At 43.6% G+C, this 16871-nt stretch overlaps 1 protein-coding gene across 17 annotated transcripts in view, besides 1 other annotated feature; it reads left to right on the forward strand.

The window, feature by feature from the left end:
- Positions 13077–13476: a transcriptional cis regulatory region, noted in NCBI's record as "candidate enhancer chr11.1780 targeted for multiplex CRISPR interference". NCBI's record gives its function as "positively regulates LMO2 gene expression in K562 cells {active_cell/tissue: K562}" and the evidence as "EXISTENCE:mutant phenotype evidence [ECO:0000015][PMID:30612741]".
- Positions 15176–16871, forward strand: part of EHF (ETS homologous factor) — a 42196-nt gene continuing 40500 nt past the window's right edge. For 9 of the 17 annotated variants that reach the window (NR_165391.1, NR_165390.1, NM_001378041.1 and 6 more), the window contains exon 1: positions 15176–15311. Coding sequence is in view for 2 of the 17 variants with exons in the window: in NM_001378053.1 (NP_001364982.1) it covers positions 16494–16499 (6 nt within the window). In the remaining 15 variants the exon portion in view is untranslated. The other 8 variants (XM_047426758.1, XM_047426755.1, NM_001378053.1 and 5 more) reach the window with 4 other exon arrangements.

The following is a 16871-nucleotide window of genomic DNA, read 5'->3' on the forward strand; positions in this document are numbered from 1 at the left end:
GATTCCTAAAATGCCCCTGCTGCTGTGATAGTCCAGCTCAAGAGAGAGGAAGTACATGAGATGTTACCACACAGTGTGGTATGTGCTGGAGAGGTGAAGACTCTGGAGCAGAGAGGCAACAACTCAGGTGGGGACTGAATGGTGGCGGGGTGAGCTCATCAGGAAAGGCCCCCCCAGGGAAGCTGTGTTTGGGCTGGGGTCTAAGGATGAGCAGCAGTTAGCCAGGGAAGACAAGGAGTAAATGTACCTAGGCATGTGGGGCAGTCTATGCAATAATGTGGGGAGGAAGCAGAGAGAAAGAGAATGGGAGAATGGCCTGCCTGTTTGGGGAAATGAAAGGAGCCAGTATGTAAAAATCAGGTGAGAGACAGCTGGAGATGAGGCTGCAGAAATAGGTAGGTGCCAGGTCACAGAGGGCCTTGTGAATAGTATCATGGACGCTGGACTTTACTCCAAAGGGCATGGGAGCCATCAAAGGGTGTTGAACAAGGAGATGCACATTATAGAAAGGCCAGGAAGGCCTCTGGGATCTCCTCTTCTCCAAACTGTGGCTCTGGGGACAGCTCCCTATAGTGGTCTTGGGCAGCACCAAACTGGTGTTTAGGCTCAGCTCACATGCAGCTCACAGCAAGATGGTGACAAATGACTCATCCTCAAACAACAGAGCAGGCATAGGAAGGAGGCCCCGGTTAGGATCTTGCTTACCTGGTTTGCTGGTGGCCTATGCATTTAATTGTAGAACAGAATGCCAAGCCACTTTTTAACCTTTCTTCTACACCATGCCCTGCACCTCCCCTTCTCTCTCTGCTCTTCTCCCTTCCACCCTCAAATTTCTAAGCCATGTCCAGGTCTCGTTTTCACCTGTGCCAGAGAAGATCTATCTGACTTTGGCCATGGAAGAGGTATAGCAGGTATCAGTTGGAGAGGGCTGGAAAAGCTCCCTGGTGCTAGATATGGACGACCTGAGCTTCCAGTCCTGGCTCTTGCAGCCACCAGGCATTTGACATGGGCAGAAGCACTTTTCCTCACTGAGCCTCTGTTTCCTCATCTGTAAAATGGGAATCATGGTGATGGTGTGATATTTGAACAAGTTTTTTTTTTTTTTTCAAAATTGCTTTGTAAACTGCAAAGCTCTGAATAAGTGTTTATTTGGGATTATTAGGAACTGCTTTGCTGGAACAGTCTACCAGAGGGATGGAAGGAGAGGAACTGAGAAATCCATTCTTTGAAATATTTTTATCATATGAGATACAAATATGTATCTATATAAATATAGATATAAATATGAACAAATATATCTGTCATAAAATTTAAAAAAGGATGAACCTTGCCCCCAATCTCACCCCTAGCAGCAACTATTAATTTTTTGTTGTATATCTGCCCAGACACATATAAAATATATATTCAAACAAAAAATATAATCATATTATAAACTTTGTTTTTTAGCTTGTTTATTCACATTACATGGAAATCTTTCAGCATCATGGCATATAGATCTGTCTTTTTAATATTACTTCATGGTCTAGGTGAACTATAGTTTATTTAGCATTTTCCTTTTGGTAAACATTAAAGTTAGTTGCAATTTTTCATCATATATTTTTTCTGGTCTTTTGTACATATATCTATGAGAGAAATTCCTAGAAATAGGGTTGCTGACTCAAAGGATACCAGCATTTTAAATTTTGGTAGGTACTACCAAATTGCTCTTCATAAAGAGTGTACAAATACACCCTCCCACAAACAGAGTGCCTGCCTTCCATGCCTGGACCAACCACAGGCATTACCACCTCTGCTGAAGCTTTTTCATGAGACAAGGTCTTGCTCTGTTGCCCAGGCTGGAGTGCAGTGGCGTGATCTCTGCTCACTTCAACCTCTGCCTCCCAGGTTCAAGTGACTGTCATGTCTCAGCCTCTGGAGTAGCTGGGACTACAGGTGCGTGCCACCAAACCTGGCTAATTTTTGTATTTTTGGTAGAGATGGGGTTTTGCCATGTTGGCCAGGCTGGTCTCGAACTCCTGGCCTCAAGTGATTTGACTGCCTTGGCCTCCCAAAGTGCTGGAATTACAGGCGTGAGCCACCATGTCTGGACTGCTGAGGTTTTTTTTTTTTTTTTTTTTTTGAGACCAAGTTTCACTCTTGTAGCCCAGGCTGCAGTGCAATGGCATGATCTTGGCTCACTGCAACCTCCGTCTCCCAGGTTCAAGGGATTCTCCTGCCTCAGCCTTCCAAGTAGCTGGGATTATAGGCATGTGCCACCATGCCCAGCTAATTTTGTATTTTTAGTACAGATGGGGTTTCTCCATGTTGGTTAGGCTGGTCTCGAACTCCCAACCTCAGGTGATCTGCCCGCCTTGGCCTCTCAAAGTGCTGGGATTACAGGCATGAACCACTGCGCCCAGCCTTGCTGAGGCTTTTAAAACCATGAAACGCTCCTCCTCCCTCAAATGGTCATGTGGCCACTGCCTGCTTCATCACACTGCTCCTCTGTCTGACAAGCCTGTTCTTATATAACACCAGTAGGTAGGGCCATCCGAGACATGGTTATCCAATAAAATGGTAAGAACCAGCCCTAGGGTATTTGGGAAACTGGCTGTGAGGGTTCAATGGAATATTCACATTTCCAAACATAAAATCTAGCAGCAATGGAGAAACGTACTTTAAGCAGAGAGTTTTGCGCCTGACACAAGAAATTATTATTATTGTTGTTATTGAAAGTTCTGACACACAGATCTCGGTTGTGTTTGGAAGGAGGATAGTCAGAGAGAGGAGGAAGGTATGAAGAGGTCGAGGTGTTAGTTTTAAAAAGTGTGTCTTTGTCATTGTCGAGCTGTGGCTGGTCCCACATCCTGGTTCTATCAGGCCTTTGGTGTTACAAAATGCAAAACACCAGGCAACCAAATAGCGTTTCCATGGAAGTATCCCATGACCTCTGGTGCTGTGTACAGGTGAGACAGTGAGCACTCAGAAAGGGATGGCCTGGGTGGGGAGGGCGAAAGGGGCCTCTCCAGCCTCTGCAACATAAAACAAGGGGCCAATGGAAAGTTCTGGAACTGGATCACTAAGAAGACAGGCCCCACTGCTGGCATGAGTGGGATGACCAAAGAATTAGGAAACTGAGATTGGAGTTGGTCACCAATTCAACTGGCCCATTTAAAAATTTTCATAAGCAGGGACAGAGGATCAAGCCAAGAGCACTAGGGAGATGGTGATGAATGGAAATTGTGTAAGGTAGATGGCTATGTGCCGGGGAAGGAGGAGAGAGGATTCAGAATTATAGGAATAATACATGAAATGACTGACAAAAGTAGCCTTTTATGTGTGTTATGTAATTTAATCCTCTTAACCTTATAGAGTTAGCACTGTCAGGATCCACATTAAAAAAAAAAAAGACGAAGCAGAAGCTCGGAGAAGTCAAATTACTTGGCCAAGGTCAAGGTCACACAGCCACATGTGGCAAATCTGGAATACAAACTTAGGTCTATCTGACTTTAAACCAAAATGCTGCATATAGCTTCGATTTCAGCACAGCAGGGTTCAACTTGGAGATAGAGGGTGGTGTTATAGATTACCAGATACGATAGTGGTAGGTTTTCTTCTGTCTTGATGAAAGATGAGCTATTTTTATCCTGTTGCAGGACAACGCGAAGGATCATGACTTCCATTTTTGAACTGACATTGTAGATTTGTGTATATTTGACAGCTCTACCACATTCCCAACCCTATGCCCTCCTATCACCCTTTTTGAGAATACTGGGCTAGTTGGGGGCAGTGTTGGGGGACTTGGGCCTGGGCGTATGCTGGGAGGAAAGGCAAGGAGATTATGCAGTGTGGTAGTAGGGACTGGGGGAAGTTTTTTTGTTTTTTGTTTTTGTTTTTAAAATCCTAGTTGGTCCCCAGTGGAGCCTCCAGACCTCCTCAAAGCCTTTGAGGTTGTGATTAATTACCATATAAACTAGACAGTCCTTGGCCTTGGTGTTGCCATTCCAGCCTGTAATTATCTTCATCACAAGTTGCTGTCTGGCTTTGTTCTGTAGGTAGAGGCTCTTTCGTAGGTCCCTGCATGTCCCTGAGTCACTAGCAGGCTCACTTGTGCTTATCCAAACTGGTGAATCATTAGCTGTCACCCTGGAGAGCAGTGCAGTTTGGGAAGGCGTGGGTGCGCCCATGGAGAGGGTGATCCCCTCTCTCTTCTTTCCAGGCATGCGTAAGGAGCAGTGGCAGAGAATTACGGAACAGAGGATGCTATCATAGGTGACCTATGAGCCAGGCACGTACATACGTGTCATCTCAATGAAAGCTTTACAGCACAGGTTATACAAGTAGTACACAGGGATAAACAGCAAGGTTCTTAGGTGGGTTTCAGACCTGGCTCTGTCATTTATCTAGAGGTATGACCTTGGCCCAACCTTCCTAACTTGTCTATGCCTTGATTTCCTCAACTATAAAATAGAGATAAAAATGGTAACTGCATCCAAGAGCTTTTGAGAGGAATTGATGCAAAGATGCAAGTACAGTGCCTAGCAAACTGAAGCACTCCATGAGGAGTGGTGATGCGGATGCTAATGCTGATGCTGGGACAAACTTACACCCACTTTACAGATGGGAGAACTGAGCCTCAAGTTGTCCAAAGTGGCATAGCTAGTAAGTGGTAGACTTGGGATGAAAACCCCAGTCTGTTTCCAAGTCAGGAACCCTTTCCTCCATAATGCCGTCTGCATAAATTAGACTGTTGGACTGAAAAACAATCCGTTCAAACCACAAGGGTACATTGGCCCAGGTTGCTTCTATGTTTTATCCTCAATCTGAAGCAATATAATGAGCAATGTAATGAGATTATGTTAATATTTACTCAGGGTTCTGGGAAACCCAGAAGGGTTTCAGGGTAAACCATCTCCCAGCAAGCAAGGGCTCGCCCGCTAATTCCCCTTTCTTCCAAGACTGATCAGATTGCCCAGTGCCTAGTAAAATGCCAGTTTCCTTCTATGTGGAAGGGAGCAAAGCTGTCAGCTCCTGCTGGGGCACAGGGAGAGGATGTTTCTTGTGGATAGGTAGGTGGTGCTTAGGGGTAGAGGCTCTGAGATCAGGCAGACATGGTTTCTATCTGTCCTCCCAGCAGTGTGTCCTTGGGTAAGTTACTTAATGTTTCTCAGCTTCAATGTCCTCATCTTAAGATGAGGGATTATCATGCTACTTTGTGGGGCCTTTGTGAGGATTAAATGAGATCTTAGTATCTGGCACATAGTAAGTGCTTAATAAAAATAATAAGGCAGAGCTGGGTAGATTGAGGGTTTTGTTTACAGCACTTTGGCAGCAAGTTGCTTGTTTCCTGCCATTCAGAGACCCTGGCCAAACTATGTCCATTGTGGCCACAAGACCATTGGCATGTCAGCCTCCAAAAGAGAGATGACTGCTCAGCAGGCATTAACCAGATCAGAGGTTCTTTGATTCAGCACAGTGCTCTCTTTTTGCACTGCTCTCAGTCTACCAACAGTATCAATCACAGCAACCATTCATGGTGCAAGGTGATCTCCCTAAACTTACATTATATCTTTAATCCTCACAGCAGCCTTGGGGGATGGTATTATTTCCATCTGTAGATGAGACAATAGGGGCTCAGAGATGGTAGGTAATTGCCCAAGGACACATAGCTGTTGGAGAAAGTAGTATTGGAGCAAAATCTATGTGTGTGCATCTAGATTGACCAACCTTCCTGGTTTGCCTGGGAATATGGGGTTTTCTAGGATGTGGGGCATTCAGTGCTAAAATCAGGAAAGTCTAAGATGAGTTGGTTACTCTATATGCGGCCTCTCCGTGGAGGGTTGGTTGGTGGGCCTGGAAAAGGGATAGGGATAAGAGAGAGAAGAGGAGGACGCAGAGAGAATGGCAGAAGCAACTCTGCACTGTTTCTTTCTGCAAAGATGTCTTTTCAATTCAACCTGCTTGTTCAGTTCAACAAGCAGGTTTGAATGCCCTCGTCCTTGGAGGGAGTCACGTCAGGACTTTCCGGGTATTTGACCGTGATGAAGAGCGCTGTCTGCCAGGGTTCGCCAGGCTGGGTGTGGAAAAATGGTGCCCAAACCAGCCCCACATGGCAGAATAGGAAACATGCTGTCATCTTGCTTCATCTGAATCTCCATTCCATGAGGGCAGGAATTGTTTTCTTTTTTACTTCTATAGCTGAAGCCCCAGTGCCCAGAATATGGCAGAAACTCCAGAAACATTGGTGGAATGTAGACTATTGAATAATTCCAAGTACAAACCAATGGTCCAGGGAGATTTAGATTCTGATGAAGGCAATCTGGGGAAGACTGAATGGAGAAATAGCATTGGAAACGGTTTGGATACCACGTGTTGGGATCAGGAAGCAGAGGAGCACAGAATGCTTGTGCAGAAGTGACATGGGCCCACTGCACCTGGGGTGGACCCTGTGAGGTAGAGTTGGAGACCAAGGGCCTGAGGACTGGACATGTCGGTGGAGACCAGGTGGTGGAGGATGGAGAATGCCATGCCCTCAGGGAGTTTGGACTGCCTGTCGTTAAGCCATTTTTTTCTCCAAATTTCAATCCCCCTCATTCCATTGTCACCATATTTGCCATGTCTGTGTACCTACCTATATTACTTATTTAACACTTTTCCTTCAAGTGACTTACTTTTTAACTTTACATTTGTTTTCATATCAAACACACATGGCTGTTAAAATAAAAATTACGATTTGAACTTAGAATCATCTTGCCTACCACATGAGGTAGGTGTACTTCCCTCTGAGGACCACAGCTCCAGCAACTGGGGAACCGACAAAGATTTTTGAAAGAAGAAATGATTCAGTTGCTTTTTGGGAAGACTACACACGTGAGGAAGTACTGAGTGGAAGATATGTGCATAAAACATTGGCGCAATTGTGACTAACATGGTAAGAAATATTATCAACGCAAGTTTGGGGGGCATTTCAAAGTCTCTCAATGGTCATCCGGATGAAATATGCAAGAACTGCTCTCTCTCTCTCTCTCTCTGTCTTTTCTCTTCTTGGTCTCACTTTGCCCTCTTTCCCAGCAGCTCTGCCTTCTCCCCCATGCTTGCTGCCAACAGCTCTGAGGAATGGGAGGGATTGCAGTTCAAAGAGTAAACAGGTCTACTCTGAGTAAGGCTGTGGGCTGTGCAGTGACCCCCAGTGGGTCTGGGTGCCTGGTAATGATGCCTGCACTGGCATGATGCTGTGGCTTTCCAGGCTTGTTTTACCTGGTTGTGCAAAGAATGTTACCCCCAGCCAAGGCTCAAGTTCACAGACCATTGGCCCATCCCCTAATAAGCATATTATTCCCAGCTGGGCATTGAACTTCCAAGTTAAGGTGACCTGCCAAACTGGAAAGAAAATGGATTTGCAAAAATCAGATGTTTGCCAACAGCACCATCCCCCACCACAACCATAGACAATTGTGAGATCTAAAGTTGGACTCCCTGAGGTTTTCTGCCCTGGTGGTTCTGGCAACTCCTGGAGAGCCACAGACTGATGAATTTGAGGATCATAAACCTTAAGAAGACTTTAAAGTATTTTTGGCATTAATTGACAAAGTCCACAGCAAGCCAGGCATGCTCTTCTCTCCCACTCCCCTTGTCAGAGATGTCTCTTTCCCCTTGCTCTTCTTACCCCATTCTTTCCAGCATAACCAAGCTTAATAGCTTCCATGTTTCCACTGTAAGGAAGTGAGCCGAGTGTGGTTGGTCTGTTTCACAGCAGGGCTATCCTCACACGAAAAGTTTTCAGATGCATTGACTATGCAGATTTTTGGCTCAGTTTGCAGAAGACTTCCTTATTTCAGTTTTACTGTACACCCACCTACATAATACTTTTTGGTTCTTAGAATTTCAGAGCTATTAACCTCTAAACTTAAATCAAAATTCTCATCAAACTTTCCTAGGGCCTTGTCATAAAAGAAACTAAGTCTCAAAATAGGACTTTTTGGCCTAATTTCCTTGTCCAGGAAGACAGATTGACTAATTCCAAACCCTGGACTCACATGTGATTGCTAAGAATAGGGGTGGGGGAGAGAGAGGGGACAAAAGTCATAGACATGCCATGACACATATTGGGAGATTTCATCTGAATTTCCCCTGAGTATGAAATTATTCAGAAATAATTCCAAGGGCTTCTTTTCTGACATTCCACCAGTGTGCAGGTGCATATGTTTTGAATGAACTGAATGGATAATTTATTTATACAAATGAGTCTTTTTGAATAGTTGCAATGGATGTGCTGTCAACTCTCCAATATCACTTCCAGGGGGTTTGTAGATGCATTCTTTCCATGGGCATCAGCAGGTCTGGATCTCCTGCTTTCTATCTGAAAGGCACTGGTCTGGATCTCCTGCTTTCTATCTGAAAGGCATTATGGGCAGCAGTCTGGTTGATTTTATACTACTTTGATACACTCTCAATTGCATACTAAGAATGAGGATGGAGAAACTGATAGTGAACCTCACCCCAATTAGGTTTCACTACTGCCCTTGACCTTCATATTTAATGCCTTTGTTATCACAGCAACTCTTTGCTCTATTTCTGGATCCAAATGCCTAAGGATCTCCCTGGGGTGTTAAGCTTGCTCAGTGCTATTAAACCTGGTGGGTGGCAGAGTGACCTTTGTATCACAAGAGCCTCATGACTTCCCAGGCAAGACCAAGTCACAACTTTTCCAATGGATTTCCCCTCGATTCTTATTCTGAGCATTTAGCTTTTTAAATATTTGGCTCTGAAGGGCAGGGGCTAAACATTGTTCTGTAAGATCCAAACCTGCTTGTATATTTTATACTTTTGTTTTTTCATTTCAACTTTCCGATCTCGCTCTTCTGAGAAACATTCACATTTCCAATTGCATTCCAGAACTGAGCTTGACTTTCCATGTCCATGTAAGATCTTGTAATTCAAATTTCAGCCAGCTGCTAAGCTTCTCTTTTCTGGAGGGGATTGTGGTTAAGAGATCTTGTTTTGCAATGACGCTGTCTGGTCTGAGCTCCAGCTACTTGTCTTATTTACTGTGCAACCTTGGCCATGTTAACTTATCAGGCTCATGAGGCTCGGTTTTCTCATCTATAAAGTGAGAAAATGAATAGTACCTATCTGATGGAGTTTTTCTAAGGCTTAAATGAAGTAATGCAAATTAAATTCTTAGTCTAGTCACTGGGAAAAGATGAAAACTTAACGAATATGAATAGTCACTATTCTGTTTCTTTTTTTCTATGCCATTCCGGCTTCACCTCCTTCTCTTACTTTTTCCCTTTCTTTTTTCATTTGTTTTCTTTTTTTTTTTTTTCTTTTTTGAGATGGAGTTTCGCTCTTGTTGCCCAGACTGGAGTACAATGGCATGATCTTGGCTCGCTGCAACCTCCACCTCCCAGGTTCAAGCGATTCTCCTGCCTCAGCCTCTCGAGTACCTGGGATTACAGGTGCCCACCACCATGCCTGGCTAATTTTTGTATTTTTAGTAGAGATGGGGTTTCACCATGTTGGCCAGGCTGGTCTTGAACTTCTGACCTCAGGTGATCCACCCACCTCAGCCTCCCAAAGTGCTGGGATAACAGGATGCCGCACCACTGTGCCTGGCCTCTTCTACTTTTTCTTAGAAACATGGAGGGTTAGTTCTCTGGCCACTCATATGAAACTTCATTCCCTGCTAAGGTGGAAGTATTGGAGTTCAAGCTCTACACTTAGTGGAGGGAGTAAATAAGCATTTCCAGAGAGCCCACCAAGTGCCATGCAATCTCCTAATGCTTTGTACTATTTCTCATTTAACCCCCCAAACAGCTCACTGAGTATGTTAATATCCCCAATAAACAGATAGGGAAACTGAGACCTAAAGTTTGAGCAAATATGGCAAAGTTTTCCTAGGCTGTCTGGCTTTAAAAACAATGTCCTTTCACCGCATCAGGCTGCTTCTGAGGAGCAGAGCCACCTTGCTTTTGTAAGTCTGTTGGAATAGGCTCTGAGATGCCACACGTTATCCCAAATAATTAGGCATCTGGATGGAGATTTTATACATTTTCTACTTGGACCTGAGTTTGCTGTCTCTCATGGTTCCTGGGTGAAAGAGGCCAGGCCCTGAGACCTTTACCCAAGGTTGGCTCTACCAAAATATCTTCTTGAGTGAGTTCTCTGGTTGATCATCTGTGGAACAATGTGGGAGCCTACTAAATATGAATGGAAAATGAGGAATGCAAAATGGATGGTTTTCTCCACTATCACCTCACCCTTGGAGGTGTTTGCTGATTTGGTAGATGTGTGGAGGAACTCAGGAGTCTGAATTTGTAAAGGTAATTTGGATGCTTCATTAGCTTAGAAAGGACACAGCAGGGAGAACTATATAGCAGAGAAGGCTGGATGCCTATGAGGGTAGGGAAGGGAAAACAAGGGGGTGGGGCTGTAGCTGCCCTACCTCCGGTCCATATATGGCTGCATTTCTTTAATCTCTTTTACTTTTGGGATTCCATGGTAGTAAACAAAGAGTTCTTATGTTAAAACAATTGCTATCTAATTGTACAGCATGGTGAATATAGTCAATAACAATGTATCATGTATTTGCAAATTGCTAAGAGAGTAGATTGTGTTTTCACCACACACAAAAATGGCAAGTATGTGAGGTAATGCCCATGTTAATTAGCTCAATTTAGCCACTCCACAATGTGTGTGTGTGTGTGTGTGTATATATATATATATATATGTTTATGTATATATACACACACACATATATATGACATGTCAGAATGTCATGTTTTATTCCATAAATATATACAAATTTTATTTGTCAATATAAAAAGAATAATACCTGGAAAAACAAAAAAAAATCCTAAGTGCTATACTTATAAAGAAATCTTCCTCATACAAAAAAGAAGAAATTCTGGCCACAGGAAGGTTGCCTGAAAATGGCCACCTTTTTCATGATTTTCCCTCCCTTTCTGAGACTGAGAAATGAGCCTTCTTGAAGACCCTGATGGAAATACTGTGAAGAAACTAAGACAGTTGGATTCAAGAACCAAAATGCTTATCGTAGCAGTGAGGTTGGCTTGAAGTCAGGGAACAGTGTAAAGCTATTTGTGGGGAAAGATAAGGCCAGAAAGAGATTGATAAAATACAGGCGAGACCAAAGGAACAGGGCAGGGGCAAATTAGTTTAGGCAAGAATAGAGGCGTCTTGATATTAATTAAAATATGGAGGAGGAGTCCAGAAAATTCATCCTTGGTGCTTGGGTAAGTTTAGCAACATGTTCAGATGCCTGAGTTTTGTGTGTGTATGTGTGTGGGCATGCACGTGTGTGTGTACACAGTGGGTCATTCTTCTCAGGAAGAGTGAGCCACTCTCCCCTCCTCCAGCACCAAAGTGGCCCCCACCTTGGCACGCCAGTGGCACATGCCATTGGGCCAGGATTTGCTCAGAATGCAGGCACACAGACATAATGTCAGGAGGCATTGCTGGTGTGTGTCACATCAACCTGTTAGAACAACTGTCAACGTGTGACCTCCCAAACAGAACTCAGGTGCCCCCTTCAGAGACCGTAAAGCTTGTCCTTAGAGGATAATGAAGATCCCCAGGAACCTCATCTAATCCAAAACCAAAAGATTTGGGAAATGTGACCTTTAGAGGGGAGTAGCATTAAGAAGCAAAATGATACTTATTAATTCTGTTGCTTATTTGACTGTAACCAGTATAATAAATGATCATATTCTGCTCGATTTAATTCCCCCTCCCCATAAGTTTCACAAGACCAGAAGGAGTTTCTTCTTCCCATTGGTCTTACATTAATATTCTTGTACGGCTTTCACTAAATAGATGCCGTGTTCTGCCCTGGAGGTAACACCACGTCATTAGGAGGAGATGATAGACAGAAATATATACAAACACACACTTGCTTTCAAAAATAAATATAGGCCCTCTAGTTAAAAGGTATTGTGTAAAGTGTGTGAGCATCCTCTTTCTTGCAAAGCAAGCACACAGCTTCCATTAATCTTGTAGCCACAGCCTGTGTTGGTGTTAAGACTCAGATTCCTTAATGCTTGATACTTGGCTTAAAGAGATTCTTTGTCCTGGCCTTGATTTGGGAATTAAGATCCCTAGGGTTTTTGGTTTTACAGTATGGATCTTCTAGGAGACAACCCGACTGACCTCCGGGTCTCCAGGCCACCACACACAACCTGGTTTGCTTTGCTCTGTTCCCCTTTTCCTCTGTGGGGACCAGCACAGGACTCAACTCAAGGGCTCTGTGTCTGTGCACAGGTTGGAGAGGGTGATAGGGCCTTGACCTGTAGGGACAACCAGGAAGATTTCTATGCAGAGTAATTGGGTTTCTAGAGTTTGTTTCAGTTGATTTGAGGGCAAGCTGCTTGGCCTCTCTCTCTTGATTCTTCCCATCCACAGAATAAAGACAATCAGCTTTGTTTATCACTCTGTTCATTTTGCTATGTCTTTATCAGCCCCCCAGAGAATTCAGGAGCACAGAACAAGTGCTGGAGGTCTCTCTTGCCAGAGTCCTCCTTGAGAACTTACAATGTGTCCATATTAAGGATCTGCTGTGTTTGATGATTTTGTGATTACACTTTAAACTTCTTATCCATAAAGGACATACTTGATATATCTGAGACTTGTAGTAGAAGGCCTTGAGACATCCATCTCATCCCATCATTATCTATCTATCATCTATCTATCTATCTATCTATCTATCTATCTATCTATCTATCTATCTATCATCTATCTATCTATCGCCAGTACTGTCTTGTTGAAGTTGGCAGTAGGGTGAAAGACCTCAAACTCCAAAGGACTTTCCGTATGGATGCAATATACCTGCAATTCTAGCTTTTTTGTGTTTTTTTTTTTAGGTTGGGGGTGAGGGGTATTGTTTTCATTTTTGTTTTTCTTCTGGAAGGTTCAACTAAGACCCAAGTAAAAAGAAGAATCAATACTTAATAAGTACCCAGCAAGTAGCAGGCACACTTTTAGGTACTTTATTTACAAAAAAACCTCCACAAATAAAGTGGCTTGTGAGTATGAGGTGACATCTTTCCCTCCCCTCCCACCATCACTACCCCAATATGACTCGTCTCAATAGCCCTCCAATCTAAAATGGACTAAATACAAGTGGATAAAGAAATGGAGATTTAACCAGAATTCTTCAGCTATAAATTACAGGGCCTATAATTAAAGGTGATTGGGACTGGGTCAGAGAGCCACATCACTTTTGTGGTTGCATTTGAAGTTCACTATCTCTTGACCACACAACCCTAGCCCTTCTACTCCCACCCTGCTGTCTCAGGTTAATCTCAGGCAATGGTGTAAAGAAGGCCAAGTTTGTTTCCCTGGAGTCCCACGGGCTCTAGCAATAATGCTTCCCTTTTCTCATGAGTGCCCCGCCACCCACCCCCCTTCACCATCACTACACACAAATGCCCTGCAGTGGGTGGAATGTAGTTACTTCAGGTTGTGCCTGATTTGTCTCTCAAGCAAAACTCCAGCAGGCCATTCCCTCAGGGCCCTGCTCTCAGATCTGGAACTGATAGACTAATTGGGGCTAATGTGATAATGGGAAATAATGAAATTTGTTGTTTTTATCAGTGTGTATATGGGGCGGGGTTTACATTTGCATTTTCACAGGGCCCTTGGCAAGTTCACAGGGTTGAACAGTTGGGAAGGGTGGGAATGTCTGGGGCAGGTTAGGGAGGCAGAGGGATTTATTAGAACTCCCCTAAACTGCACTGACCAAAGCCTCAAGCCCTTCTTCAAGACCTGCCCAGCTTCCAAGACCTTCCCAAGTCCACCCTTGTTTTCCCACTGAGTCTTTTACACTTTCAGAAACCTCTGAATTTGTGTAGAAACTAGAAAAAATAAGTAAGAAAAGACTAATACTACTGCACACTCACTGTTCCCCCTTAATATAATAACCAGTTTTTATTCTATTCAGTCAGCCTTTGACCATAAGCAGACCTTTTTTTTTCTTTTTAACACAAGTAACTTCTTGGTTTTGATCACAAAATCTTTATCTCTGCCAAATCTCAACTTCCCTTCCCTCTCCCACAAAAGGGAGGCCCGTTGAGTCAAAGAAATCTGCTTAGACACTTTGCTCATGCCAGGCCAGTGTCCTGGAAGGTTCAACAGAGAAAGTTAATGGTTGGGGGATGGTATTTTTCTTTGCTAGGAGCAGTCATTCACCCGTATGGGAGAAGGTACATTTGTGACCCAGTGAAGCAGGTACAGGTAACTCCCCATATGTCCCTTGGCCCAAGGGAATAGAGGTTGCCTGGGTATTTGAATCCGTAGATCCTCCCTAATATTCCACCTTCTTCTTGTCCAAACTGTGCTTTTTTATTTCCAGTTTCAGCATTTTGGTCTTCTCATCTCTAACTCTTATAGGGAGTGTCAATAAACCTTTTAAAAAAGATCATGTAAGTGTCAAGAGGAAGTGAAGAACCTAGATAATCCACCAACCGGATAATCAGCTCTTGCATATTTGAGAGTTGACTGCTTGACCTAAGCATCTCCTCATAAGGTACCCTCCCTCCCAGGACCTTCCCTTTCAAACCTCTCAAGGCTCTTACCTGGGGCCAGGGGAGATAGGCTTTTCAAAGTCCATTGAATTGCCAAGAGTCTCTGTCAAGAAGGCAGTCATGGTGCCTGGAGAGGGAACTTGCTGGGAGCCCCTTCAGAGCCTGGTACTTATAGAGCTAGGGAAAAGATCTTGATGCCAAAGCAGGGTGGACTAAATACAGACTAATAAATGAGACAGGTGCTCAAGAGGGCCCCTCCATACCATCATCTCCTCCAGATTTGGACTTCTACTCACTTTGCTTTTACATTCCCTCTTCCCGATGGTGTCTTTGGTGAGCAGGGTGCTTTTCACCTGAAACAGCCTCTGAGCTGAAAAGAACAGTCACCACCAAATCAATTCCTCATCCATTAACAGGTTGTCTCTCTGTTCTTGAGACACAGGCATTACCTGGTTAGACCTGTTTTGTTTGAACACTAACGTGTGAGTTGGCCAAATGCAAATGAGCCAGTGTTTGTAATCCTTTATTTTATTTTTTTAAAGGGCTGGGTAGCCAATCAGAAGAGGGGGAAGTGACTTAGGGAATTCCCGGTTGGTGGCTTATTGCTTAACATCCTACAAAATGATTTAAAATTATTGTTATATGCATTTATCTTCACTCTGATGAGGGCTCAGACTTGATAACACCCGTGGTGCCCCATCCCTATAGGAGCTGGTGAGATTGCAGCCTGCTGCCTCCCCTCCAACAGCCACAGCTATTGGATTTCCCACCCAGAATCTTTAGGTAAATGAGGTAAGTCCTGATTTTTAAAACTTCTTTTGAATCTGGAATCCAAACACTTGAGTGGAAAGAGAAGCCTGCTTTAAACTGGACAGATGAAACTAGAACAGACTCTTGGAGACGGCTGGCAGGAAGTGAAGCTCACCTTACCTGGGCTTACCTCACTGGGTCAAATCAGAATTTTATTTTGGAGGGCAGGTTGGCTACTTTGGATATTATCTGTGAATTTCCTGCATTGTCTGGACTTCTAATCTCTGTGAATTTAAAAGCCCCCTCGTTTCCCTATGCCTGGGTGGCAAAACCATTCCCCTGGGTTGAATTCTTCTGGAACAAATAGGCAGCTAGAGATAGGTGGCTCTGATATAGCTCAGAGAAGAAGTGGTTGGCTAAGTAGCTGTTAGGGCTCAGAGTACACGGTCTCGCTTTCTAGAGATGTCTTCTGCTGGTAATTTTTCTGACTTATGAGCTACATGGAAAGGCCAATTTGTTTTTAATATGTTCCAGGACTGGAAAATGGCTAGAAATAGGCAAGAACATACACAATCACACTGGAAAAAGTGGCCAGGCAGCCAAGGCAGGCAGAGGTATTGGGGAGAGCTGAATATCTACAAAAACAAAAATTCAGAAAAAACAAAAATCAATTTTGGCAAAGGGCTTCACTGTATAACAAGGGGACAAGCTAACCCTTTGTTTACAAACTAACCCTTTGTTTACTCCATTTTGTCCAGAAAATACAACAATCAGTTTTGGCAAAGGGCTTCACTGTGTAACAAGGGGACAAACTAACCCTTTGTTTACTCCATTTTGGGAGACTATGATCAGACAGGCAGTTGTGACTCAGCAGCAACAAATGCCTTCTGAGACAGGGATTCTTTTGATTTTGCTTGGACATTGTGGAGAAGTGTTAGCCCCAATGTGGACTGATCTGGGAACAGTGGGAAATTAACTTCTTGTTGGTAAATATCAGGCTGAGGTGAGAAAGCGACATTTTCACCGTCCATCTTTGCTGATTTACCATGCTCCCAGGATGGTGGGAGTGTGTGTTTTTAAGATGGAGAGTGTATGCTTCTGGGTTCAAGTTCACAGGTGTCTCTGCTGGTTATCTGCACTCACCTTGGTAACAGGGAGAAAGTGAGTGAATGGATTCCAAGAACTTACTGATGGAAGTCTAATTCAGGAGTTGGTTCTGCAGCCATGGAGGTAAAGATGTGTTGATAGTCTTTCAATGTGTAAAAGGGCAATTAGAGATTCTGTGTGACTGTGTGTTAATTCCACTGGGGTCAGGGGAAAAATTTATTTCTAACAGAAAAGAAGAAGATACGTTATTAGGAAGAATTTCATGGCTAGGAGATACTATCAGAAAAGGCTCTTAAGAGATTTTAAGGATGACTTTAATAGCTGCATTTGAAGTTTGCAGAGGATCCACTTTTCCTCTTTTTGTGACCTAAAATTCTGGGATGATGAAATAACTCACCAATTCCATCTTCTTATAATATGGAGTCATGTAGACAACACCATTTTCACACAAATGGCTAATGGTATTTAAAAACCATGATGGAATGTGAATTGGGA

Source organism: Homo sapiens, chromosome 11, assembly GCF_000001405.40.
Source record: "Homo sapiens chromosome 11, GRCh38.p14 Primary Assembly".
In the NCBI taxonomy this organism is placed as follows: domain Eukaryota; kingdom Metazoa; phylum Chordata; class Mammalia; order Primates; family Hominidae; genus Homo; species Homo sapiens.